Source organism: Homo sapiens, chromosome 12, assembly GCF_000001405.40.
Source record: "Homo sapiens chromosome 12, GRCh38.p14 Primary Assembly".
Taxonomy (NCBI): Eukaryota; Metazoa; Chordata; class Mammalia; order Primates; family Hominidae; genus Homo; species Homo sapiens.
This window is the reverse complement of record NC_000012.12, coordinates 105,396,976-105,423,828: the sequence shown is the minus strand read 5'-3', so window position 1 is coordinate 105,423,828 and position 26,853 is coordinate 105,396,976. Positions and strand designations below refer to the sequence as shown.

The window sequence follows — 26,853 nt, the reverse complement described above, 5'->3', positions numbered from 1 at the left end:
ATGCCTAAAGTGAGAACCCACAACCTTTCCACTCACGTGAGCCAGGAAATTCTGTTTGGGATGAGTTTTCTAGTATTTGCAGCAGAAGAATCCCTACCTGATGCAGAAATGACCCACATTTTCCAGCTGAGGCAAATAGAGGCCTCAGGAGATTAGCTAACTTGCCCAAGTTCACACAAATAACTAAGACAAAATTTGAAGCCACTTTGTTTCACCTTGAAAAGCTGGTGAGGAAGACAAACTGGATTTTTAACTGACTGCAATATGACAAACATATGTGAAAAAAGAAAGACACAATAGGAAAATGGAGTGAAAGAAGGGCAGAGAGTGAAGGACAGTGTAATTGAGGTACAAGTTTCAATGACATCTGAAGATTATGAAAATCTGGGGTTTTCCTGGTGCCCCATCTCTCCCAGTGACTCAGTAAGATAGGAAATGAAGGCTAACTCTGATTACCTAGTTGACTATTTTAAACTCCAGCCATTTATAGAGCACTAATTAGAAATCATTTCAAGCAAAACATCTGTTCATTGATTTGCTGAAACATCAATATTGGCTGTCTATGAGAATAATTTGCATTTCATTGCTAAGGAAAAAACATTAGTACCTGGAAACCAAAGAAAGCAAATCTAGACCCACGAAGATCCTCAGTTTTTTTCAGAAGGCAAACCACCATGAATTATTCTAATTATTTGACCTTTTCACTCCAGAATAATCCAAAGCGAGCACCTGCAAAGGGAGTGGGGTGAAGTATCGAGTTCATAGAAGCCCTCAACAGGTATTCTATTTTTGAGGTTCCATATTTTCAAATTTATACCAATTTTGCATTCTTCTTCATAAATACATTTGTTTCCATGTAAAAGCATTTTAGGTATTTATCAACTACTTATTTCAACAAATCTACTAGTGAAATGTATTCTCTGACTGCATGCACCCCATGTGTCTTGCGACTTCTCACACATTAAGAACACCAACACCCCAGGTGTTACAGATTAGAGAAACTGGGATAACAGTGGCACAAAACAATGGGTCTCTGCTTGCTGCTTGCCAGCACCTGTTCTGAGTGTTTTTCATATATTAACTCATTGAGAAAACTGAGTCACAAAAGACTAAGTTGCTTGCCCAAAGTCACAAAAATTGTGAGGGGTAGAGTTAAGATTTGAATGCAATATCTGGCTCCTGACCACGAGGCTATATGCCTCTCAAGTTCCTCAATTTTTGACATAAAACATTACCTGTCATCTGAGGACTATAATAAAGAGTGTGTTAGAACACTCTGCTACACTATGCTATGTTATACTATCTTATACCAGACTATAGCATATTATTCTACACTATACTGCACTATGCTATGCTACACTATATGATACTGTGCCTCACTATATTATGCTACACTGTACTACACTATGCTGTATTATACTATACCACACTATATGATAAGTAGGCACAGACTTTGGGGGTGACTTGTTAGTATCTGTCAAAATTCTACATGCTCACCCCTGAAACCTGGCAACCCCATTTTTAGGATCCATCCTAGTGAAAGACTTGCAGAAATGGACGAGGCACACACAGGCACCCTTGCCACACTGCTTTTTAAAGGGGAAAATTCAAAAAGTCTAAATAGCCTTTGACACTGGAATTCTTTCATTCTAGACATTCCTACAGTGGATTGCCATTGTAGCATTAAAGAACAAGGTCAATGTTTATGTGTGGCATGGAAAACTCTCTAAGGTACAGGATTAAGTGAAAAGGGCAAGTTACAGAAAGATATGTACAGAATGAGGCAGGGATTTAGACATTTAGGTTGAAAACAACATAAACTGTATTTTTGTACATGAAGCAGACTCCATGACAAAGAGCAGTAGGGATTTCAGTGTTTGACGATGGTTAATGGTGGCCCAAGAGACACCTAATTAGGAGACTAGATAGTAGACATTGCAGTTATTCACCAGAAGCAAAAAGAGTGACAGGCACACTGGGGGTGTAAGAAAATGCCCCCCTTTATCCAAGATGCTTAAGAAACTAGAAGAATGTCCTGCAGGATAGCATAGGGGCAAATCAAAAAGGACTTTGAGGGGATGTGGCATGGAATACAGACTGATGATAATCCCTGGCCTGGCCCTTTGCTCTGACTGTTCAAAAGGTTGTCTGCATCCCACAGAGAGATGAATCGCGTGGCTTAAAGTCGCCCAGCTATACCTGTAATCCCAGCACTTTGGGGGGCCAAGGCAGGCAGATCACAAGATCAGGAGTTCGAGACCAGCCTGGGCCAACGTAGCGAAACCCCATCTCTATTAAAAATACAAAAAATTAGTCAGGCGTGGTGGCTCATGCCTGTAATCCCAGCTACTCGGGAGGCTGAGGCAGGAGAATCACTTGAACCCAGGAAGCGGAGGTTGCAGTGAGCGGAGATGGCGCCATTGCACTCCAGCCTGGGCCACAGTGCGAGACTCTGACTTGAAAAAAAAAAAAATCACCCAGCTACATAGGGACTGAGCTGGTATTACATACCAGATGCCTGTAACTCCAAAGCACTCCACTTTCAATTCACTCAGCTCTAAACTGTTGATCTTTAAGTTGCTTTCCAGGTGTTTTCAAAGAGTGTCTTGATCTCTGACACAAATTGTATAAACAAACTAGGGCCCAGGCCACCAGACTCCAGGGGCTCCTAAGACATGTCCAAAGAGAGCAGGTGTGTCATTTTCTATGAGAAGTTTTGGTTTCCATGTTCACCTTAAATTGTGCATAGGATTTTTATTTGAAATTATTGATATTTTTCTCCATTCTGTTTCATTGCAGCCACCCACCAATAAATAATATTTTTAAAAATATTACCTATTCTACATGCTCTCCACATCTCTTCTGGCACATTTTGTCACTTAGTCACTCTGCTGTGCTTTGTACACCTTGTTTCTTTCTGCTCTGAACTTGAAAGGCCCAGAAACAGCATTGGCCCAGAGGCAAATCAGATTGCTGTGGGGATACTGCCCTCTGCAGGCCACTGCTATGCATTTCCCTTTATCCTTAAGGATACAGGCCATCAGTAATAGCTGTTACATTCTGACTTCTTCATGGATTATCTCATTTAGTTTTCACAATATCCCTCCTGAGGTTAAGAACTATTATTATCTCCAGTTTTTGCAGAAGAAACCTGAGTCCCAGAGGGGTTAGGTAACTTGTTCAAGATCACACAGCTAACAAGTAGCAGAAACAGGATTTGAACCTAAGCCATCTCTCTCCAGAATCTATCCTGCCAACCACTATAGCAGACTTCCCAGAGGGAAGGTAACTGCCCATTTTTGAGCAGCTGTATCATGACAGGCATCTTACATACAATACCTCATTTAATCCATCTGTCAGCCAAAGGTAAGTAAATTAACTCAAAAAAACTAATTGACTTACCTGTGAACCCGTGGCTGGTAAGTCAGGTCTTTCTGAGTCCAAAGCATTGGCTTCGTCCACGTGGTTCTCATGCAGGTGCACTGCTCAGCTCTTCTTTTCAGAGAGCATTGGCCAAGGGTGCAATTGACTGACAGCCAGCAGCTGTGTGCCTTTAGAATCACTGTGGCATTTGCACCAAGGCCACCATCTCCCTGAATTCTCCCAGCCATGAGTGAGCATGAGGGAGGATTAGAGCCAGGCCACATCTGCCCAGGATAGGCCTCCTGGATGGAACCTGTGCCTGGAGCCTGCCCCTGGGCCTGAGGAGGCCCTCTCAGAGCCGCACTGTAGTCCTAGCTCTCCTCCCTAAGTCCTCCTGCCTGCCTGCCCCCACTTTGCCGGTAGCAGGTGGCATTGTGGTCTGAGGATCTCCCACCCATTCCTGCTCCCTCCTCCTTTATCTTTCATAGGTAATTTAGCATCCTGGGCACTGATCTTACCCTCATGTTGCTCACATCAAAAGATTAAGATTAGTCATGAACATCAGCAACTGTGTGGCAGATGTCGAGGGAGAAGCCTGGAGTCTGTATTCAGATCGGGACACAGTCCTGCATCTGCCATCTGGTACAAGTTCTTTCTCAGTCACCCAGCCACTGTTTCCACCTCTATAAATGGAGCCCAGTAGAGCACCACAGGCCACATGCTTTGACAGCTAACAAAGCTTTGGGCAGACCTAGGTTCAACTCCTGGCTAGATAAACTCATGAGGGATTTCGCTTCTCCACACTTCAGTTTCTTCATCTGTATAACAGGCACACTAACACACATCTTGTGGTTCTGCTGTGACAATTAAGAGTGGTATATATGTGGCTGGGCACAGTGGCTCATGCCTTTAATCCTAGCACTTTGGGAGGCCAAGGCAGGCAGGCCACCTGAGGTCAGGAGTTACAGACCAGCCTGGTCAACATGGTGAAACCCCATCTCTACTAAAAATACAAAAATTAGCCTGGTGAAGTAGCACATGTCTGTAGTCCCAGCTACTCAGGAGGCTGAGACAGGGAGAATAACTTGAACCTGGGAGGCAGAGGTTACCGTGAGCCAAGATCGGGCCATTGCACTCCAGCCTGGGAAAAATAGTAAGACTCCTTCTCAGAAAAAAAAAAAGAGTGACATATATGTAAAGAATCTTCATAGAAAATATGAAATGCAGGGCAGCTATTTGCCAAATTCTTTTCATAGGAATAAGAAAAGATCATATATGGGGAAGTGCTTTGTAAGGAATACTAGCCAGACAGAGGTTAGTTATTGCTATAATTATAAATGCTGCAAGAAGGAATGGAATTAAGCAGTCTGGAATTCAAAGGAGGGGGAGATTTCACAGCACTAGGGAAAGAGGAGTCGGGCGTTGGAAAGGCAGAGGTGGTGTCCAGATGTGGGGACCAGCAAAGGCAAGAAAGCACAGCGCCTGCCGGCAAATCGCTCTGGGGCTGCATTCCCTCAGGGTCCTACTGGAAGAGCACAAATGCATCTGACGAAGGCACCCAGGGCAGCGTGTTAATGGAAGGAATGTGTGGAGGAGGTAGGAGAAGTGCCTCAGCTATCTCAGGCCTCAGGCAGTTTAACAGGGAGTTTATCATCACAAGGAGACACAAGATGCAGAAGAGCATCCAAGACACTGCAGGATAGCTATGGGAGTTCCAAGGGTACCTGCCCAGGAGATGGGGGCATGAAGAGCAGATTCCCTTAGACCGCAAGGAGAAATGAACATAGCCCAGGCAGAGGACAGCCACAGGCAGGGAGGCAGCAGCTCTTCATATTTGGATCCCACTTTTCCACAAGTGTTCACAGACATCTGCCTGGCTACCATGACACTGAGGCGGGACTAGAAAGATGGCCGCCCCTTCAGCAAGCTCATCCCACGCCCCTTCCCACTCCATCTGGGTGGGGCTGATGTTGCCCATGCAGCTGGGATGGAATTTAAGATTCATGACACTGGCATTCCTATGTGGAGGCTCTGGGGCAGGGCAGGGCCATGCTGAGCCCACATCCAGCATTTTTCACACGTCCCTACCCTGGTCTCCACATTCCTGACTGCACACACATACTTGTGCACGTGACCACTTCACCACCTTTTTAGTGAGCACAGCTGACTCTTTCCACTGTTGGGAGGTATTCATGTGTGGGGTAAATTGAATAAATGACAAGTATCACTATTTCCAGTGGCTCAGTTAAGTTCCATTACCTTATGAGTGAACACAAGGCTCTCAATTCCCTGGTTCTTAAGAATGACCCAGTACAAAGTAACTGGTTGAAAACCCCCTCATTTATTAGCTGTGTGCCAGGGTCACGATGCTTAGCACAGTGAAACTAATGATGTCTGCCTCACAACGCTGATGTGAGAATTAAATGTAGGTAATGTAGGTAAGCTTCAACCACCCTTAGCACCACCAAGTCTTGAGGAAATGCTGCTGAAATTCACAAAATGTTTGGGGTGTGTGGATTTCTTGGGAATGGCAGCCAGAGACTGCGCTGTCTTTAACATCCTAGAGGCAACAAGCAGTATAACAGAAACAGTAAAAAGATACATTTTGTAGATGTGATTAGCCTCTGCAATAGCAGACACACACCAAGGGCCATTGAGTCTAAGGAGACAAGAGACTGGCAGTGACGTCAGAAAAATGCAGAGAGCCTGGTAACATGGAAGGTCACCTACTTGCTGCCCCTCTACCTTTACCCACCCCTGCCTAGAAAAGGGGTGGTACTAAAGATGCCACTGGGACAGTACTCAGCTGGGGAGACACTGAGTGCTACTTGATCTGGCAGGGGAACTTTAATGGAAGAAATTCTTCCCAGGACTTTGGAAGGACTGTGTTCTGATAGCCAGTTTACTAAGGAAGGATGTGAGACCCAGAGCAAGGCAAGGGTGTATTCTGGGCTATTTGACAAGTGGACAAGTTCCTGGTCATGGATTGGACCCTTCTCATGTCTAGCTTTCTATGTGTCCAAGGGGTAAAGGTCAAATTTGATGGTCAACTTGGCCAGGCTATGGTGCCCAGTTGTTTGGTCAAGCACTAAACTGGATGTTGCTGCAAAGGTATGTTATAGATGTGATTAGCATCTCCAATCATTTGACTCTAAGTAAAGGAGATGACTTTCCATAATGTAGTTGGGCCTCATCCAATCAGTTGAAGACCTTAAGAGCATAGAAAGAGATTTCTTGAAGAAGAAATTCTACCTCAAGACTGTAACATGGAAATCCTGCCTGAGTGTCCAGCATGCCAGTCTGCCCTGCAAATTTCAGGCTCAAGGCCTGGACATCAACTGTTGCCTGAGTGTCCGCCTACCACTGCCCTAAAATTTTAGATTTCCCATCCCCCACAATCACATGAACAAATTCCTTAAAATAAATCTTAGTGCATGGAGATGTAGACTCTCTTGGTTCTGTTTTTCTGGAGAATCCTGACTGATCCACAGGGTAGTTATTTTTTACCCTTTTTTTTAAATTTAATTTTTTTTTTTTTTTAGATGAAGTTTCATTCTCATTGCCCAGCCTGGAGTGCAACAGCGCAATCTCAGCTCACTGCAACCTCTGCCTCCCGGGTTCAAGCGATTCTCCTGCCTCAGCCTCCCAAGTAGCTGGGATTAGAGGCATGCACCAGCAAGCCCAGCTAATTTTATACTTTTTTTAGTAAAGATGGGGTTTCTCCACGTTGGTCAGGCTGGTCTCAAGCTCAGGTGATCCACCCGCCTCAGCCTCCCTAAGTGCTGGGATTACAGGTGTGAGCCACCATGCCCGTCCTTTAAATATAACTTTTAAGATCAGGGGTTCATGCGCAGGTTTGTTATATAAGTAAACCTGTGTCATGGTGGCTTGTTGTACAGATTATTTTGTCACCCAGGTATTAAGGTTGGTGCCCATTAGTTATTTTTCCTGATCCTCTCCCTCCTCACACCCTGCAACCTCCAAAAGGCCCCAGAGTTGTTGTTCCCCTCTATGTGTCCATGTGTTCTCATCATTTAGCTCCCAGTTATGTGAGAACATGTAGTATTTGGTTTTCTGTTCCTGTGTTCGTTTGCTAAGGATAATGACCTCCAGCTCCACCCATGTTCCTGCAAAGGACATGATCTCATTCTTTTTAATGGTGACATAATATTCAATGTATATGAACCACATTTTCTTTATCCAGTCTACAATTGATGAGCATTTGTGTAGGTTCCATGTCTTTGCTATTGTGAATAGTACTGCAATGAACATATACATGCATGTGTCTTTATAACAGAATTATTTATATTCCTTTGGGTATATACCCAGTAATGGGATCACTGGGTCAAATGATATTTCTGTTTTTAGGTCTTTGAGAAATCGCCACACTTTCTTCCACAATGGCTGAACTAACTAACACTCCCACCAACAGTGCATAAGCATTCCTTTTTCTCTGCAACCTCGCCAGCATCTGTTATTTTTTGACTCTTTAATAATAGCCTTTCTGACTGGTGTGAGATGGTATCTCGTCAATGGTGTGAGATGGTATCTCGTCATGGTTTTGATTTGTGTTTCTCTAATGATCAGTGATGTTGAGCTTTTTTTCATGTGATTGCTGGCCATGTGTATGTCTTCTTTTGAAAAGTGTCTGTTCCTTCTCAAAAGAAGACATGCGTGCAGTGAACAAACATTCCTATGTCCAGAATGGTATCGTCTAGGTTGTCTTCCAGGGTTTCTATTGTTTTGGGTTTTACATTTAAGTCTTTAATCCATCTTGAGTTAATTTTTGTATATGGTGTAAGGAAGGGGTCCAGTTGCAATCTTCTGCATATGGCTAGCCAGTTCTCCCAGCACCATTTACTGACTAGGGAATCCTTTTCCCATTGCTTATTTTTGTCAGGTTTGGCAAAGATCAGATAGTTGTAGGTGCGTGGTCTTATTTCTGGGTTCTCTGTTCCGTTCCATTGATCTAATACACAGAGTAGCTATTGCCATTTTAGGCATGAGGTGAACAGAACAGCCAGTCTCAGATACTGTGCTCACACACAAGTGCCTTGGGAGGTAGGTTGGCGCTGGAGTAGCCCCATTTTACAGAGAGGAAACTGGCACTTGTAGGCAGTTATTCTCAAACCTCACATCACATGGGTGGTAGAGCAGAACCTAAACCCTAGTCCTCCTCCTCCAAAGTGCCTCACTCTTGGGTTCACTCTCCTTCCAGAGCATCTTTTGGGCCTCACCTCTCATAGCAGAGCACCTGGTCGCATTCAGCTCTTCGTCTGTGGAATTCTGGGGCCAACTGTCTATATAATACTTTACCACCCTTTCCATGTTAATGGCGTGTTAATTCTCCAGTGCCCAATCTCAAGAATACTAAGCCACATTTTATGCTCATCTTTTCCTCATTCCCCACATCTAATGACTTTAATTTTGGAGCGTCAGCCTTGAAAATGTCTCACATATCTGTCCTCTTTTTGTTCCTTCCCACAGAGGCCACACGTGCTCAGGCCCTCAGTCCTTCTTGCCTGTGGATTGGGCATAGAAAGCAGATTTTGAGAACAATTGAGCTCCTGTGGGATATAAGAAATTAATGGAAAAAAAGCCATGTGCTAGTTTTTATGACCAAGACCTTGGACACTTTGGACATTTTTACATGCACGTGGCCTTTGTTCCAACAAGTCCCATTATTACTGTCAAGCAATCAGAAATCATTCATCCACCACCTGGATGAGCTTCCTTAGAGCATTTCTAAATGGGGGCTGCATCTCACTCCTAGAGGACATAGGAATTTGTAGGGGCATTCTCTGGTCACAATGTTGACCCGTGGGGTGCCAATAGAAATTAGTAAGTGAGGCACAGGACAGTTCTAAAAGGAAAAATATAAAAAGTGTCCCCATCCTAACAACTCTCAAATGTCCTGCTGGAAACTCCTATAGATAAAATACTTGTTCATAATTTCCTAATTATAATTTTGTTTCACATATAAATACAAGGTACCTTTTAGTACATTTTTAATATCCACTTGAGTTTCTAGGAATGTAACAAGACAAATGTAGATGCACTGTGATTAATTTAGAGCTTTACCAAGAGTTGTTCCTTGTTTTGGAAAATCACTTCTGGCAATGCACTCCAGGGACAGCATCGTCACATGGCACCTACATGTTGGTCTGTTTTCGTGGCTTATGAGGGGCAGACGTGCAATCACTGCATTGTGTACTCATGCAGCCCAGCTCCAGCCTTGGCATTCTGAAATACCACATACTACTTAACTACCAATCGCTTTTCTATTTTTCTCCTTTATAAAACAGTTATGCTGATGGGACTGTAAAATGGTGCAGCTGCTATGGAAAACCATACGGCAGTTTCACAAAAAATTAAAAATAGAGTCCCATATGATCCACCAATTATACTGTTGGGTATATACCCAAAAGAATTGAAAGCAAGGACTCAAACAGATATTTGCATACCCATGTTTATAGCAACACTATTTAAAATAGCCAAAAGGTGGAAGCGACCCAAGTGTCCATCGACACATGAATGGATAAACACAATGTGGTGTATGCGGACATGAAGATGGAAACGATAGACACCAGGGACTCCAAACAGGGGGAAGGAAGGAAAGGGACAAGAGTTGAAAACTTCCTATCGGTTACTATATTCACTATTTGGGTGCTGGGTTCAATAGAAGCCCAAACCCCAACACTATGCAATATATCCACGTAACAAACCCGCACATATACCCCCTGAATTTAAAAGAAAAAAAAAGTGCCGTGTATATATATAATGGAATACTGTTCAGCCATAAAAAGGAAGGCACTTCTGACCCATGCTACAACATAAACGTTGAAGAATTTATGCTAAGTGAAATAAGCTGCACCAGGTGCGGTGGCTCATTCCTATAATCCCAGCACTTTGGGAGGCTGAGGCTGGAGGATCACTTGACATCAGGAGTTCGAGACCAGCCTGGTCAATATGGCAAAACCCCGACTCTACTTAAAATACAAAAATTATCTGGGCATGGTGGTCCATGCCTGTAGTCCCAGCTACTCGGGAGGCTGAGGCACGAGAATTGCTTGAAGGGAGGCAGAAGTTGCAGTGAGCTAAGATGGTGCCACTGTACTCCAGCCTGAGTGACAGAGCAAGACTCTGTCAAAAAAAAAAGAAAAAAGAGAAAGAAAGAAAAAGAAGAAAGCAAGAAAGAAAGGAAGGAAGGAAGGAAGGAGAAAGGAAAGAAGAAAGAAAGAAGAAAGAAAAGAAAGAAAAAGAAAGAAAGAAAGAAAGAAAGAAAGAAAGAAAGAAAGAAAGGAAAGAAAGAAAGAAAAAGAGGGAAAGAAAGACGCCAGTTACAAAAGGGCAAATGGCTATATGATTCCACTCATATGAGGTACCTAGAATGGTTAAATTCATAGAGACACAAAGTAGAATGGTAGTTGCAGGGCTGGAAGGAGAGGGGAATGGGGAATTAGTGTTTAAGGAATGCAGGTTTTCAGTTTGGGAGGATGAAAAAATTTCTGGAGATAGATGGTAGCGATGGTGGCAGAACAATATGAATGTACTAAAAAACACAAAACCATACACTTTGAAAGTGGTTAAAATGGTAAATTTTTTATTATGTATATCTTCCCACAATTTTTAAGAAAAGAGTTTGTGCATTTTATTAGTTTTTATGTGTGTATCAGCAGGATAGTAAAGAGGGCATTTCAAAATATTTGTTTTTAAAAGGAAACATGACATGGAGAACAAGGTGTCTAGAGTTTTATGCACTTGGTGTTTTATGGCATCTTTTATTTTGTCTGGAGACTTTCTGGCACCCCTTGAAATATGTGGAGACATCTAGGCATTACTAATGAAGGGTTAGGGATTGTTGGGGCACAGAATGGAGGATCCCAGGGGACTAAGAAAATATATATTTGAGCTTATGAGAATTGGGGCTGAGAGAAGAACTACCCAAGAGTCAATTTAACTTGGATTTGAGCTAGCAAGGCTGGGACTACAAACATTTTATATTTATGGAGCTTCACACACTTTATGAGGCAAAAGCACTCTAAATGTATAGTCCATTAACAGGAGGTAGCCACGGCAGAGTGGAAGGGGAACAAACTGGGGCCAGATCTGACTTGGCCATTTAAGAACTGTCTGTGTGATTTAGGGCAAATGTCTTAACTTCTTTGAGTCCCATTTGCTTCCATCTGTAACACATGAATATTTACCCATCTTTACTATGAATGCCTCCTTTTCTTTGGATACCTACTATGAGCCAGGCACTTGGAAGACATTTAGCCATTTAATCATTAATCATTTCATCTCTGTCACTGTCCTGTGACATAGACATCATCTCTAGCATACAAATTAGAAAAACAAAACGGATGCTGTCGGTCCCCCAGACATTCCCTCCTGGCCCATGCTGGAGGGCATCTATGTGGCTTCCTGTGTGTCTCCACCCCATGGCACTCTCTGGCTGCTTGAGTCTCCTCTGGCCACAGCAGGCAGTGTGAAATGGCCAGGGAGTTAAAACTTCCAAGAACAACCCTCAGCCAGTGAGGGATGGAAGGTGGTGAATAAACACCCCAGCACCCGCACCCTGCATTCCACCAACCCCAGGATGTGTCCTGCACAGTCTTCATCACAGTTGTGGCACTGAGACCGAGTTGCCCACTTGTGAATACACCAATAATTGGGTTTCTTCCCTTTTCTGAGTCCCTGCCCAGTCCCTCCTGGTGCATCCTGGGATCAGCTCCCAAATGAACTATTTGCACTCAAATATTTGTCTCAGGATGTGATTTTGGGGGAGCTCAAAGTAAGACAATAGCTGAGGTTCAGAGAGCTTCAGTTTCCCATGATCTCACAGTTAAAAAGCTTGGCTGAGCCACAGTTGATGACCTCTTCTTCTGATTCCAAAGTGCCTGCCTGTCCTTGTCCCCTGGCCTCTCTGCCTTATACCCTACCCGGCTGTTGAGGAATTAAGTGAGATAATGCAGATGAAGAAGAGGGTCAAATGGCAAGCGAATGATTTTAACACTTTCACTGGCTGTTCCCCATGGCCCTGTGAGGCAGACAAGAGGTAGACAAGTTTGATGCCCACTCTATAGAAAACTGAGGCTCAAGGCCTTGGACAAAGCAACTGGCTAATAGGTGACAAATGACAAGATGATTCTCAGCTACTCCAGGTCTATTTTGCATCTTTCTCTGCATCTCTCTGTACCTGGGAGGCTAATGCCACTGGACATCTCCACCCAGGCCCCCTTGCCTTCTGGCTGCTAGTTTCACCCAACAGAAGGCATGGACAGGAAGAGAGAAGAGAGGGTTATTTAAATCCCTAGTCCCTCTTTGATGGGCTGTGTTTCTCTTCCTAAGCCATAGCTCCCATCCAACCACTTTAGTTTTTTTTTTTTTAACTAATTTAGATTTGTATAGGGTTTTGTTGTTGTTGTTGTTGTTGTTGTTGTTGTTTTTAGAAATCTCAAATCCTGGGGAAGAGAAGAGGAAATGACATCAGTTCACTAAGACCCCAGTACACTTTCCAAGTGCCAGTAGGCCCCATCCCTGTCTCAGGGCTCCAGCTCTCGCCAGATACTGTGGGTAGGAGCTCACCCTGGTCTTGCCCTTTGGCAGGCATTAGGGCTTCTGCTGTTTCTGGTCCCAGGGTGTTTCTCATCTGATCCCACATCTCTACAAATAATCTTCACGACACTCTCTTCACTTAAATCCTTTGAAGTGTCATTTTCATTCTTGTTGATACTTTAGCTGATCTGGAAGCCTTAGCAATCAATGAAAGGGGGAGAAAATAGAATACGTTATGGAGCAAATGTCATTCTCCAGGCTCTGTGTTGAGTCTTCTGTTCGTGAGCCTCACAATACTGCTGTGAGGTAGGGAATAAGATGATTCTCATTTCACAGATAAATGACTTGAGGCTAAGAAATGGTACATGGACCAAAATCCAGGTCAGTTAGAATTGACAGCCCATGCTCTCTCCCCAGCACCACAAAGACCACACTGTTCTCTAACCTGACTTGCCTTCACTGTAAATAACTGTTGGGACCAGAGCCCTCCAACCTTGCCCTGGGCATGTCAGGAAACCCGAGAACACCCTGCCTGTGGCAAGGGTGTAGCATCTTTGTGGCAAATGAGCTTTCCATGAATGGAAACAGCCTTTCCCTTCGGTGAGGAGAGGCAGGATTTCATGTGAATGTGTGATGACTGGCAGGGAGCCAAGAATAAGAGCAGGAAATGGGAGCCCAAGTGAGATAACTGCCACGGACATTGAGGGGAGGGGGCAGGATAAACAGAGGGGGTTCAATTTTGCAAAGCATTGGAGAGCACTTTGGATTAAGGACGGCCCTTGGGGAGAGCCGGGGATATTAGGAAAAGGGGGAGCCAGCCTTGGCAGGCAGCGGAGACTGAGTGCTGGTGGAGCAATTAAAGGGCGGAGCAAGTGGGCAGGAAACCACAGAATAATGCAAAACCCAAAAGCAGGCATCTAAAATGTGCACAAAAAAAAAATTATAAGGCAAAACATAGCAGACCAGAGTGTGTGCTTAGTAGCTAAAAATATTTGAGACAACATGTTAGAATGAGAAACATATGGAGTAAGCGGCAGCTGCCATTCAATTTAGCAGCTCAAGAAATGTGACTTGTCCCCATGGGCATTGGGAGGAGGAAATACTTGGAAAGAAAGAGTTCAGAATTCTAAATAAAGACATGAGGCTGAATGGGCACAGAGGAGTTTTCCCCAATATTTGACAATTGTGAATAAGATCAGAAATACTAGATGAATCACAAGATCCATTAGAATAGTGCAAATTTTATTCTCCTCACTCTATATAAATCTGCAACATACCCGTTACAAATTAATCATAACTTCCAGCTATTTAGCACCCACATACCAGGCACTTTGCATATATTATTTTGAATTCTCCCAACTACCCTGCAAGTAATATTATTGGCCCCATTAGATTTGGAAGCTGAAGCACAGAGAGTTTGAGTGACTTGCCTAACGTCACACAAACATCTGGTGAGAGGCCTGGTGAGGAATTAAATGCAGATCACTGTCCCCGGGCACATCCCATTACCCCGTGGCGAATCCCAAAATCTAGGCTTTCAAAATACTCTCATTTTCAGAAAAGAAAACAGAGGCATAAAAAGGGGAGAGATGTATCCTACAGAAGTGGAGAGACCCTAGAATTTCACCAAAGTTCTAGGGAGTTTGGGAAGAGAAATCTTAAGATTACTGAGCCCAATTCCTCTACTTTAATGTCAATGTGATCCCTCCAAGATCCAGAGCCAGGGCAGCAGGGTAGCACATTTTTCAAGCACAGTAGCACAGATTCCTACCATTCATGTATTCATTTATTCAGTCAACAAACATTTATCAAGTCACTGCTTGGTGCCAAGAACTATGTGCTATGAAAATATTTTTCCAATAGGCAGCTAGAAGGTGCTTGGTTTGCGTTTCCTTTTGGGTTTCTTTTTCTTTTTCTTTTTCTTTTTAGCACATTTCCACTTAATTCACTGCATCAGGTCCTCAAATGCTCCTCCAAAACTCTGTTCAGCTAATAACCAGCATACTGCTCTCTTTAGAATATTTATGATCAAATAACAGTCCTTTGTTTTTTCTAGTGGTGATTGTGTTTTCTGTTCGGTAACAATGGCAGCTCTGAAAGCGTGTATTTTCTTTAGCAAATATGAACAGTAAAGGCCTCTTATATTCCCTTTTCTGAGCTGAAGAAGGTAATTGAAAGGGTGCTTTATGAAAGGATCTGAAAAAACAAACATGGATTTGGCTAGAATTTTATTGGAAATCTAGAAACCTAGAGAGGGGGAAGAAAATAGGTTTTCCAAATACCAAAACATTCTGAACAAACATGCTGGCCTACTCATCAATAAGCTTTTGCTATGTAACAAATGACTCCCAAAACTTAGTGGCTGAAGACAACAAACACTTATTTCCCATGAACCAGTGGGTCTGCTGTGTGGTTTGTCTGGGACCCTTTGGCCGGGACTGAGTGGTCTAGGACAGCATCCTCAACCTTTTTGGCCACCAGAGACCAGTTTCACGGAAGACTTCTCCACAGACAGGGGTGGAGTGGGTAGAGAGGATGGCTTCAGGATGAAACTCTTCCACCTCAGATCATCAGGCATTAGTTAGGTTCTCATACCCAGCGTGCTACCTAGATCCCTCACATGCACAGTTCACAATAGGGTTCATGCTCCTGTGATAATTTTTTTTTTTTTGAGATGGAGTCTCACTCTGTCATCCTAGCTGGAGTGCAGTGGCACGATCTCAGCTCACTGCTACCTCCGCCTCCCAGGTTCAAGTGATTCTTCTGCTTCAGCCTCCCAAGTAGCTGGGACTACAGGCAAGCACCACCATGCCCGGCTAATTTTTTTTATATTTTTAGTAGAGACGGGTTTCACCATATTGGCCAGTCTGGCCTCGAACTCTGGACTTCGTGATCCACCTGCCTCAGCCTCCCAAAGTGCTAGGATTATAGGCGTGAGCCACTGCGCCCAGCCTCCTATGAAAATTTAATGCTGCCACTGATGCGACAGGAGGCAGAACTCAGGCGGTAATGCTCACTCACCTGCCACTAACCTCCTACTGTGTGACCCAGTTCCTAAGAGGCCACGGATCAGTACCAGTCTGTGGCCTGGGGTTTAGGAACCCCTGGTATGGGATACCACAACATATGTCTGAGGCCTTGCCTGGGATGCATGGGGCCCCTCTCTTCCTTCAGGGGCCTATGTCTGTGGCCTTGCCTGGGATCCTTGCCTGGGATGCATGGGGTCCCTCTCTTCCTTCAGGGGTCTATGTCTGAGGGCTTGCTTGGGATGTATGGGGCCCCTCTCTTCCTTCAGGGGCCTAGCCTGGCTTCTTCACACAACATGGAAGGGTTCTCAGTAGGAAGCCTAGGCAAGTGCTTTTCAGGACTTTGCTGTATCATATTGGCTACTCTCCCACTGGCTAAACCAAGTTACAAGGCCAAGCCAGATTCAAGAGATGGAAGAATAGAATCTGCTTCTTAAGAGGTGGGTCTACAAAATACTGTGCCCATTTTTTTCTCCTCATTCCTTCTGCTGCTGAGACTTTTGCCGGCTGAGAGCCCTCAACTGTTATCTCTCTCCAGAAATTCCTCTTTTTCCCTGAAGAAAGCTGCCTCACTGAAGGACACTCCACCTTCCCAAGGGCAGCCTACAATGGTAAGTGGCTGTCTTAGTCCATTTGGGCTGCTACAACAAAGTGCCATGGACTGGGTGGCCTAAGAACAACAGAAACTCATTTCCCACAGTTCTGGAGGCTGGAAGTTGAGGGTCAGGGTGCCAGCACCATTGAGTTCTGGTGGAGGTTCTCTCTGGGTTGCAGTTGGTCATCTTCTCATTTTATCCTCACGTGCCAGAAAGAGAGCAAGAGAGATTTCTGGGGTCCCTTTTATAAAGGCATTAATCCCACTCATGAGGGTTTCATCCTCAGGACCTAATCACTTCCCAAAGGCCCCATCTCCATCACATTTGGGGGTTAGGATTTCAGCATGAATTTTTGGAGAGACACGAACATTCAGCCCACTGCACTAGTCAATACAGGAATATAAAGGCATAGGCCATTGCCCGAACCTGGGACAAGTCTGAAGGTTCAGAGCTTCCCAAAGGGGTCAGCTGAGGCCTTAGATGAAACTGAATTGCAATCCAACACCTCTCTCTTCTCGATCTCGCTTCCTGCCCTGCCACCACAGGTGTCCATGCTGAGCACACCTCCTGGTGAACCTATGCACTCAAATCTCTGTCCAGCACCTGCTTCCTGGGGAATCAACCGAACAGATGATGCCAGGAGTAGTCTGAGAAAGAAGATGCTAAGATGGGATCTGAGGCTGCCAGCTGACCACTGACAGGCAATGAGATCCCCGTTACCGTTGGTACACCGAGCTGATAAAGCCCCTGACACAAGATGGTGATGAAACTGGCAAAACTTCCAATGGTGTTAAAATGGAATGGGATACAGGTGGAAGGAAAATGTATTTGGTGTTAAAAATATATGGGAAATAGTCATTACAAGGGCAGTGGAATTAAATGGCTGTCACTGGAGAACAATGTTTGCTTTGGAAAAAGATGACAAAAGACTGAGGGTGACTACCAGTCAATTAAAAACTGAACACAAAAGCTCAAGTGCCTCCTTAGCATGGTTAAAAAAAATTTTAAAAAAAGACTCTTATCTCCTGTAGCAAAGGAGGTTAAATTCTCAACCTTAGGTAGATTTGCTATGATAGGGTCAGGACCCTGGCTGGGAAAGCAATGTGACCTTGAGGGATGACAGCTGGGTTAATGCCTCTGAAAAAGCATGAATCCTCTGATTTCTCTGAATGCCTGGGCCTGCAAAATGGCCTCGTCTTGTTAAGTTCCATCCCTGTTTCCTCCTGGAAGGGGATGCCGAGGCCTCTCCCATGTAAGAGAACGTGTGTACCACTGTGATCTGCCCATACTTCCCACTGGCCTCTAAGCCAGGTGCACATCCCAGCAACACAACCCAGCTGTGGAGGTGCTGAACCTTATAAGGAGGAAAAGGACTCTACCCTGTAGGAGCTACAGAATCCTGCCAAGTCTTATCAGAAAAGAGACTGCATTCGAAGGGTGCTGGAATGAGGAAGGTGTGAGAATTAGAAAACAGCACTGGATAAAAGAGAATGTATCATTATGGGGGCACTTTCTCTGAATATAGGATTTAATACCCTGGCAGGGACCCTGAGAGACACTGCAAACATGCTGATAGGATGGCTCCTGGAAGCATGGAGAAAACAAGTTGTTGGGTTTTCTTAAGTATTCCATCTTGGCTGGGCATGATGGCTCACGTCTGTAATCCCAGTGCTTTGGGAGGCTAAGGCAGGAGGATAAGGACACATCTAGCAGCAGGATTAGAGAAAACAACTTGGAGGTGAAGCCAAACGCAGGACTCCACTCCTTCCTCCCTGAATTAAATGCACACCCATGCCTGGGCAACACAGCAAGACCTCGTCTCTACAAAAAAATAAAATAAATATAAATATATAATAAATAAAAAATTAGCCAGGTGTGGTGGCACGTGCCTGCAGTATTCCAGCTATTCAAGAGGCTGACGTGGGGGATCACTTGAGCACAAGAGGTCAAGGCTGCTGTGAGCTGTGATCATGCCACTGCAATCCAGCCTGGGTGACAGAATGAGACCCTCTCTCAGTGTATTAGGCCGCTCTCACACTGCTGTAAAGACATACCTGAGACTGGGTAATTTATAAAGAAAAAGAGGCTTAATGGACTTACAGTTCCACGTGGCTTGGGAGGCCTCACAATCATGGCAGAAGGTGAAAGGCACATCTTACATGGCGGCAGGCAAGAGAGAGAATGACAGCCAAGTGAAAGGGGTCTCCCCTTATAAAACCATCAGATCTCTTCTGAGTTATTCACAACCGTGAGCACAGTATAGGGGTAATCACCCCCATGATTCAATTATCTCCCACCAGGTCCTTCCCACAACACGTGGTAATTACGGGAGCTATAATTCAAAATGAGATTTAGGTGGGGACACAGAGCCAAGCCATATCACTCAAAAAAACAATAAAAATAAATATATGTATACCCAGTGTCAGGTATAACTGCAGATTGCCTTTTTCCCTCCTGGCAACTCCTCCAGATGCTCATCCTGCTCTAGGCTCTTTCCCCATGGAGGAGGCAGCTGTGAAGGCAACATAGCTTGGACAAACCCTGCCCCTGAGTTCAGAAGGGGCTATGCTGGCTATGGTCACTTCCCCTGATCTCAATCTCCCCCATGAGATATGTCCTTCCTCCCCTGGGAGACACATTAGTAAAAGAGGTGGAGATAAGGACAGGGGAAAGAGAAGGACAGAAGAGAGAGAAATGGAGCTCCTTCCTCTCCTGTCCCACAGAAGTCAGGGCTGGGTAGGGCAGGTATTAAGAAGCCCAATTATGGCACTGGCCCTGGGTGTGGAAGGCATTATGATCTTTATAAATGATCATAGCATTCATAGCTACCATTTGTTGAATTATCTGATGTGCCAGACATTGTGCTATTCACAATAGCAAAGACTTGGAACCAACCCAAATGCCCATCAATGATAAAGTGGATAAAGAAAATGTGGCACATATACACCGTGGAATACTATGCGGCCATAAAAAAGGATGAGTTCATGTCCTTTGTAGGGACATGGATGAAGCTGGAAACCATCATTCTCAGCAAACTAACACAAGAACAGGAAACTAAACACCGCATGTTCTCACTCATAAGTGGGAGTTGAACAGTGAGAACACATGGACACAGTAAGGGGAACATCACACACCAGGGCCTGTCAGGGGTGGAGGGCTAGGGGAGGGATAGCATTAGGAGAATACCTAATGTAGATGACAAGTTGATGGGTGCAGCAAACCACCATGGCTTGTGTATACCTATGTAACAAACCTGCACGTTCTGCACATATACTTTAAGTACCCCAGAACTTAAAGTATAATAAAAAAATTGGCTAGATAATTTGATGATATTAAGTAATCATTGTTACTATATTTAGGTGTGATAATGTTAAAAATGAATAGTTCTAATAGTTTAGAGATGTACACTGGAATATTCACAGATACAATAATATGATGTCTGGAATTTGCTTCAAAATAATACTGGGAGAGATTAGATGGAAGTACAGATCAAGCAAGTTTCGCCAGGACTCAGTCATTGTTGAAACCAGCTGACGAGTGCATGAGGATTTATGATATGATTCTGGATATTTTGTGTGTGTGTTTGAAATTTTCCATAATAAAAGTTAAAAATATATATGCAAAGGGGCCTGATTTGATAGGCGGATGAGTCATGGTAGAAAGAGTTCTTCCCTGAACACATCTGTGCTTCACAGCTGTATGTATGGATTGAGGGGAGATGTCAGCTGGTGGCTGGGGCCCCAGGCAGTGGGGAGAAAGGGAAAATGCTAGGCAAATAGTCAGGCTTATTGAAGGGTCTATCAAGAGCAGAGGTGGAGTATACCTCCAACAAGCAGGCAAGAACACCAAAAGAAAGACTACCAAGAGGTGGGAGGAAACCAACATGGTGGACACATAGGTACTTGCTACTTAGGGCTGCCAGACTAATTTCCAGACCCCACCCCTTGGCAGACACAGGGCACCCAATGTACTGCCAGAGCTGGGTAGATTGATTCCAGAAACGGGCAGGACTGAGCTTGCCAGCAAAGGTCCCTGGTGCCCAAGCCAAGCTCAGTGGGAGAAAGGCAGACAGTAATACCTACAGCACCTTAACCCTCTGGAGAGAATACTGAAGCAATTTTAGGATTGAATGGGGGTCCATTATAGAAAGGTTTTCTTATTGCTTGCCTTCCTCTTCTGGGAAAAGCTTGCAGTCCCTGTGTGGTTGAGACTACTATGTTGGAACCACATGGCCCGACCTGACTAATCCAAGGGTTCACACCTAACCCTTGAGGAAAAAAGATCTGTAGGATAAGTTGGTCCATCACATTTTTCTCAAGAATTTGAACTAAGAAACCAAGATTGAGAACGGTGAACCACACCATCAGGTAGTGCAGCCATTGAATGGATAAGATCATGTCTTCCCACAGTGGGCAAGTGAGTCACACGAAATGGGTCTGGGTCTCATTTGCCTGTGTAACTTTAAGTGAGTTCCTTGGTCTCCTTGAACCTGTTTCCTTATCTGTAATGTGGAGATAATAAAGGTAACTATTCCGAAGTGATTTTTATGAGGATAAAATGAAAGTGTTTATAAAATGCTTATATAGCAAAAGTTCAATAACTATTAGCTATTATTATTATTACTAGTAGTGTTAATACTACTCTTGGCTATGGCTATTTTCAGCCTTGTGAGAGCAAAGGAAGCCAGTCACAAGAGACAGACAATGCTAATCTGGCTTGAACATTGCCGAACACCAGGCGCTGTGCTAAGTACTTGAGAGCTGTTAATCCACTGAAACCTCACAACACCCCCAGAGTCTGGCAATGTTCATTTCACCAATGAAGAAACTGAGGCACAAACTGAGTGATTTGCCAAAAGTTTAGGAAGTGGCGATGACAAGAATGAACATTGACCTTCCGTTTCTGGGTCTATACTCTTAATCACTCTGCAACTGCTCCATTATACAAATGAAAAAGCTGAGGCTCAGAGAAGATCATGCAGCTACCGAGAAATGGGAGGAAAAGAGAACCCCTGCACTGACCAAGAACCAGAGAGCACGACTTGCGCCCCTAAAGTCCAACTCCGGTTCCTGCGAGGCCCAAGCTTCTTTGTGTTCCAGTGTGATGATAATCTGCTTTCGCCTTCAAATGACCCCCCTCATTTAGGCCACCTTGAGTTTTGTTTCCTTAGCTCTGACTAAAACAACAGGAACCGTGATGTGCTTCAGTCGCCCACATTAGAATCCTATATCCTAAACCTCTGATGAAGTGGTTCTGGTGCCAGGACAAACATCTTGTCATGGGGATTACATCTCAAATGTCTGGTTATTCTAATGAAGCTCATTCTGCCCCTGTCCCACCTAATGATCACTTTTATACGGCATCCATGTTAACCAGAATAAACACTCAGCCCCTCTGCACAAAGAAGGCCTTGACAGAGAAGGTGGTCAACACGTGGCCAGAACAAGATTCAATGTGGATAATTCCCTTTTGAGAAAACACCCCCTTAGCCAGGAGTCACAAAATAAACAGAGACAGGGCAAAACCACGAACAAGAGAAAACTTGAAAGCCAAAATGTTAAGGACAGTGCAAAAAGAGTCTTCTAAATGAGGCCAGACTCAAAACTCAAGACCTTCTCCTTTGCCCTGCCTGTTTTTCCACCCATCACCTCCAACCCTCAAATTTTCCAAAAAAAAAAAACCATTAAAAAACCTATAAATTATTCCATCTGAGACCAAAGTTGTTCAAAGTAAAGAAAGAATGCAGCAAAGAATTCCAGTTGTCAAATATCTGAAGCTAACTAGTAGGCCTCAGTCATCTCCCATTTCATCTAAAGAGAAACCACCAGCCCCACACCCACACCCAAGAATCAACAACTGGGAAACAATATAATTGCCCATAAAACTTGTAAAGTCAACATGGATTTTAGAAGAAAAAAGAAAAAGAGAATGATCCTCTTTAAATAGGGCAAGAGCTTACAGTAAAGGCGTGCTATTTGAGTTGACAGAGTGAAGCACTGTAACTCCAAAATCATATAGCTCCAGGCCCGTATCTAGACACTGCCGCTTAGCAGCCAGCGACCTTGGGCAAGTTAACTTTGCCTCTCAGTGTCTCCGTTTCTTCATCTGAATAATGGGGGTGATAAAAACAGAACCTGCTTCAGAAGGTTGCTAGGAAGACTCATGCACAGTGGCATATTGAACACACTCCATGTATGCCCATTATTATTCTTTATAATAAATTTAATTATATAAATATTCATGTGATTATGATGGCATGTTTAGTTAGATAAGTAGAAGAACCAAAGGTGTCCTCAAAGGTGAAGCAGCATGTGTGACCCTGGCTTCTATGGAAACCTTAAAAACAAAATGGGGGCAATTCCCAGGTCCCCAGATTCTGGAATGTGGGGATTGTGAAGAGGGGAACATGAGCTTTCTACCGCAGTTTCCTTAGGTGTCATGGCTGCCTCACTCCAAGGCAAGGCTGTGGAATGGAAGAGGGAATGAAGGAGGATTAGTAGGAAGCACCTGAGCTAATACTGGCTGAGCACTTCTCCAGTGCCGAGTACGGGGCTGAGAGCCACACACATACACACACACATAAGCTCATGCAATCTCCATGATTCCGCAGTGAGGCAGGTATTATTAGATTGGTGCAAAAGTAATTTTGCACACTGGAAAGGCAGTAGAATCATGCCTTTCCAACCGTCCCCTAAAGTCTTAGCTCATTTCAGCATGAGCTAATTTTTTTTTTTCACCAACCTAATAATGTGGTTTTGGCATTGAAGTTTTTGCATTAAAAAAAAAAAAAAAAAAAAAAAAGGCAAAAACCGCAATTACTTTTGCACCAAGTCATATTATCATTCCCATTTTACAGATGAGGAAATTGAGAGTTAGAGACATTCTGTGACTTGCTCAAGGTCATGCAGCCAGTAAGTAAAAGAACTGGGATTTTGATCAAATTAGCTGTCACTACTACACTGCAGTGTCTTCTGATAACACGCAGATATTTCCCTTCTCTGGGCCTCAGTTTTCTTCATCTACAAAATGGGGTTTGCGCTAAAGGCCTTTGTAGCACTCACATTCTATGGTTATAAATATTTTTAAGATGTCGTTCAGCCAGAATCACCATTTTCCAGCCAAGGGAAAGAGGAAATGGGCTGACATATGTTCCCTGTGCCTTTTCACAATTTTGTTTCTTGAGCTAATTACAAGTGGAACTGAATGGAGGATGATTCTGTAGCCAGTGAAACACAGGTGTCTCACAGGATGTCACATTGATGTCACACACCCACACTCGGCTTTATGAATGGGTGTGGAGGGCGAGAGTCTTGCCAGGAGGACTGACGCTGGTGTTCAGCACCTCGAGTTAGCAGGTGGACTCTGTTCTGTTGCTTTTGGTATTCCACCTCCTGTCCCAGCAAAAAGGTTATGGCCAAGTAGGGGTGGCCTCGTCATGCTGTGGTTCAAAGTACTAGCTTTGGAATCCACCAGCCTGAGGTCAGTTCTCTGTCCATTCGCTGACCAACTACATGACCTCAGACAAATCACTTCACCTGTCACAGCCTCAGCTTCACGACCTACAAAATGACAGTAGTGGTGTTTACTACACAGGTGTACAGAGGGCTGCATGTGATAATGCAGGTACATCAGTTAGCATAGTGCCTGACCCCAGGTCACCCTAAGTGAAAAGCAGCTCTCATTTTCAATGGATGATGCAAGAGCATTTCAGCACAGGAAGCCATCAAGCCTATCACAGCCCCAAAACATCAAGAGCATAAAGATCAGCTGGAGATTAGAACCTACCCTCTCTTCACATAAAAGATGTCCAGGCCAAGCATGGTGGCTCATGCCTGTAATCCCAGCTCTTTGGGAGGCTGAGGTGGGCAGATCTCTTGAGCTCAGGAGTTCGAGGCCAGCCTAGGCAACATAATGAAACACCTTCTCTACAAAAAAAAAATACAAAAAATTAGCCAAACCTGGTGGCACCCACCTGTAGTCCCAGCTACTCAGGAGGCTGAGGTGGGAGAATCACCTGAGCTGATAGTGAGCCATGATTGTGCCACTGCACTCTAGCCTGGGCAACAGAGCGAGACTCTGTCAAAAAAAAAAGAAAGTTCAGATGTTGAGGCTGGGGTGGAATAAACATGTTGATCCTAATGAACATAATATTCCCAACCATCAAAAGTGAATAACTTAGGCAAACATTTCTTGTTATTCATGAAATGAACTCAACAGAGTGCTGCTGAAAATTCTGGAGGAAAGACAGTTTATCAGAGTGCCTGCAGGTCTGCCAAAAGCCCTCTCCAACATCTTGACTCTCAACCGCACATCCTTAGTTGAAAACACACCATTTAAAAAGCCATCTGAAAGGCTCTGGCCAGGAAAGGAAAGTCACTTTCCATGGATCAGCAAAAAAGAATCTACTTCTGACAGCCAAAGCCTCCCCACTACTCCTCTCACCAATTAGCAAAAATACAACCTTGATCTCTAAACCAAAATAAACTGCTTCCATTGTGTGGCTTTCACAAATGATTGAGCAAGATCAGCACCTGAAACCCCTTCAGGTATTGTATTAGTCTGTTCTCATGCTGCTAATAAAGATAAAGACTTGCCTGAGACTGAGTAATTTATAAAGGAAAGAGGTTTAATTGACTCACAGTTCAGCATGGCTGGGGAGGCCTGAGAAAACTTACAATCATGGTGGAAGGGGAAGCAAACATGTCCTTCTACACATGGCAGCAGGAAGGAGAAGAATGACAGCCCAGCAAAGTGGGGAAAGCCACTTATGAAACCATCAGATCTCCTGAGAACACATTCACTATCACAAGAACAGCAGCATGGGGGTAACTGCCCCCATGATTCAATTACCTCCCCCCAGGTCCCTCCCACGACATGTGGAGATGATGGGAACTACAATTCAAGATGAGATTTGGTGGGGACACAGCCAAACCATATCAGGTATGCTCTCCAAAGGGACAGACTCCAAGGCCATGTTTAACACTGCAAATTAAACTCCTTAGGCTGCATCCTGGGAAAAGAATGAACCAGTATTAAAGAAGGATCTTTCAAACACTGAATCCTTCTTTGAAATAGCCAGTGGCAAAAAAAAAAAAAGGAAGAAAAGTGCTCAACAAATGCACAGAAATGTGCACCATGGAAAGAACTCAATTGCATTGATACCCATATGAATGAAAAAGGGAGAAAGAACTCAGGAATTCAAACAAGAAAATAAGACAGTGTATTAATAATATTCATTGCATCATAACAAATTAACCCAAAGTTCAGCAGCTTAAAACAACAAATATTTATTATCTCACACAATTTCTATGTGTCCAGAATTCTGGAGCACCTTAGCTGAGTAGTTCTAGCTCATTCTCTCATGAAGTTGCAGTGAAGATGTTGGCCAAGGATGCCTTTATCTGAAGGCTTGACTGGAACTGATGGGTCTGCTTCTGGAGGCTCATGCACATGTCGTTCATTGTTTTCAGGAGGTCTCAGTTCCTCCTCAATAAGCTACTTGAATATCTTCACAACATAGCAACTACTTTCCCCAGAGAAAATGCTCAAAGAGAGAGCAAGGTGGAGCCACAGTGTCTTTTCTGACCTTGCCTCCAGAGTAACTCACTGTCATTTCTACAATATTCTACTGTTTGCACAAATCAGCCCCAATTGATGTTGTCACTGACACAAGAGATGCATATCAGGAGGCAAGGATCATTGGGACCATTTGCTAGCTATCACAGAGAGCCAAATAGAAAAGAGGTTAGCTTACAAATAGATTTTAATTACTAAATTATGGCATGATTGCAAATGGCAATTCAGCCAGGGAAAGTAATGATTTTTTAGGCTAGTAACATCAGTCAAAGAGCACGCATGGTACTTCTAAGAGGGGAAAGGTAACATAAATGATACGCTAGGTATTATTAGAATGCCGATTTTATTTATTACACTACCTTTGTACCTCCTGATAGGACACATGAGGTGGAATAAGGGGGACAGTTCCATGTGCTGCTAATTAGATTACTACAACTGGAATGAAGACTGTTGAGTTAAGGAAAACATGAGGTTGGCGAGCTTTAACTTCTTGCCAAGGCCAAGGCAGCCTTGGCTCAGTTTGGGGCATTTCCTATCCAAGGCTGGATCCTGAGAAATGCAGGTGTGGAGTTACCACAGAGCTCAGAGAATCCTAACAGGAAAGGATAAAAATGCAGTTCAGCAGGGACACTAATTGCAATAAGGTCCAGAAATTGCAATAGAGAACTTGGGGGTTTTTTCAGAGCTCCTCTCCTGCCACCCCACAAACATTCTTAACTACAGTCCTTGCTTCT

General features: G+C 44.0%; 1 long non-coding RNA gene across 6 annotated transcripts in view; it reads right to left on the bottom strand.

Annotated features, from left to right (window-relative positions):
• Positions 1 to 10,946: 10,946 nt before the first annotated feature.
• LOC105369957 (uncharacterized) overlaps positions 10,947 to 26,853 on the bottom strand; it is a 40,769-nt gene continuing 24,862 nt past the window's right edge. For 4 of the 6 annotated variants that reach the window (XR_945302.3, XR_945299.3, XR_001749297.2 and 1 more), the window contains one exon: positions 10,947 to 13,117. This is a non-coding gene — a long non-coding RNA (uncharacterized LOC105369957). Of the gene's footprint in view, positions 13,118 to 24,328; positions 24,469 to 26,853 lie in introns of all 6 variants that reach the window. The other 2 variants (XR_007063437.1, XR_945304.3) reach the window with 1 other exon arrangement.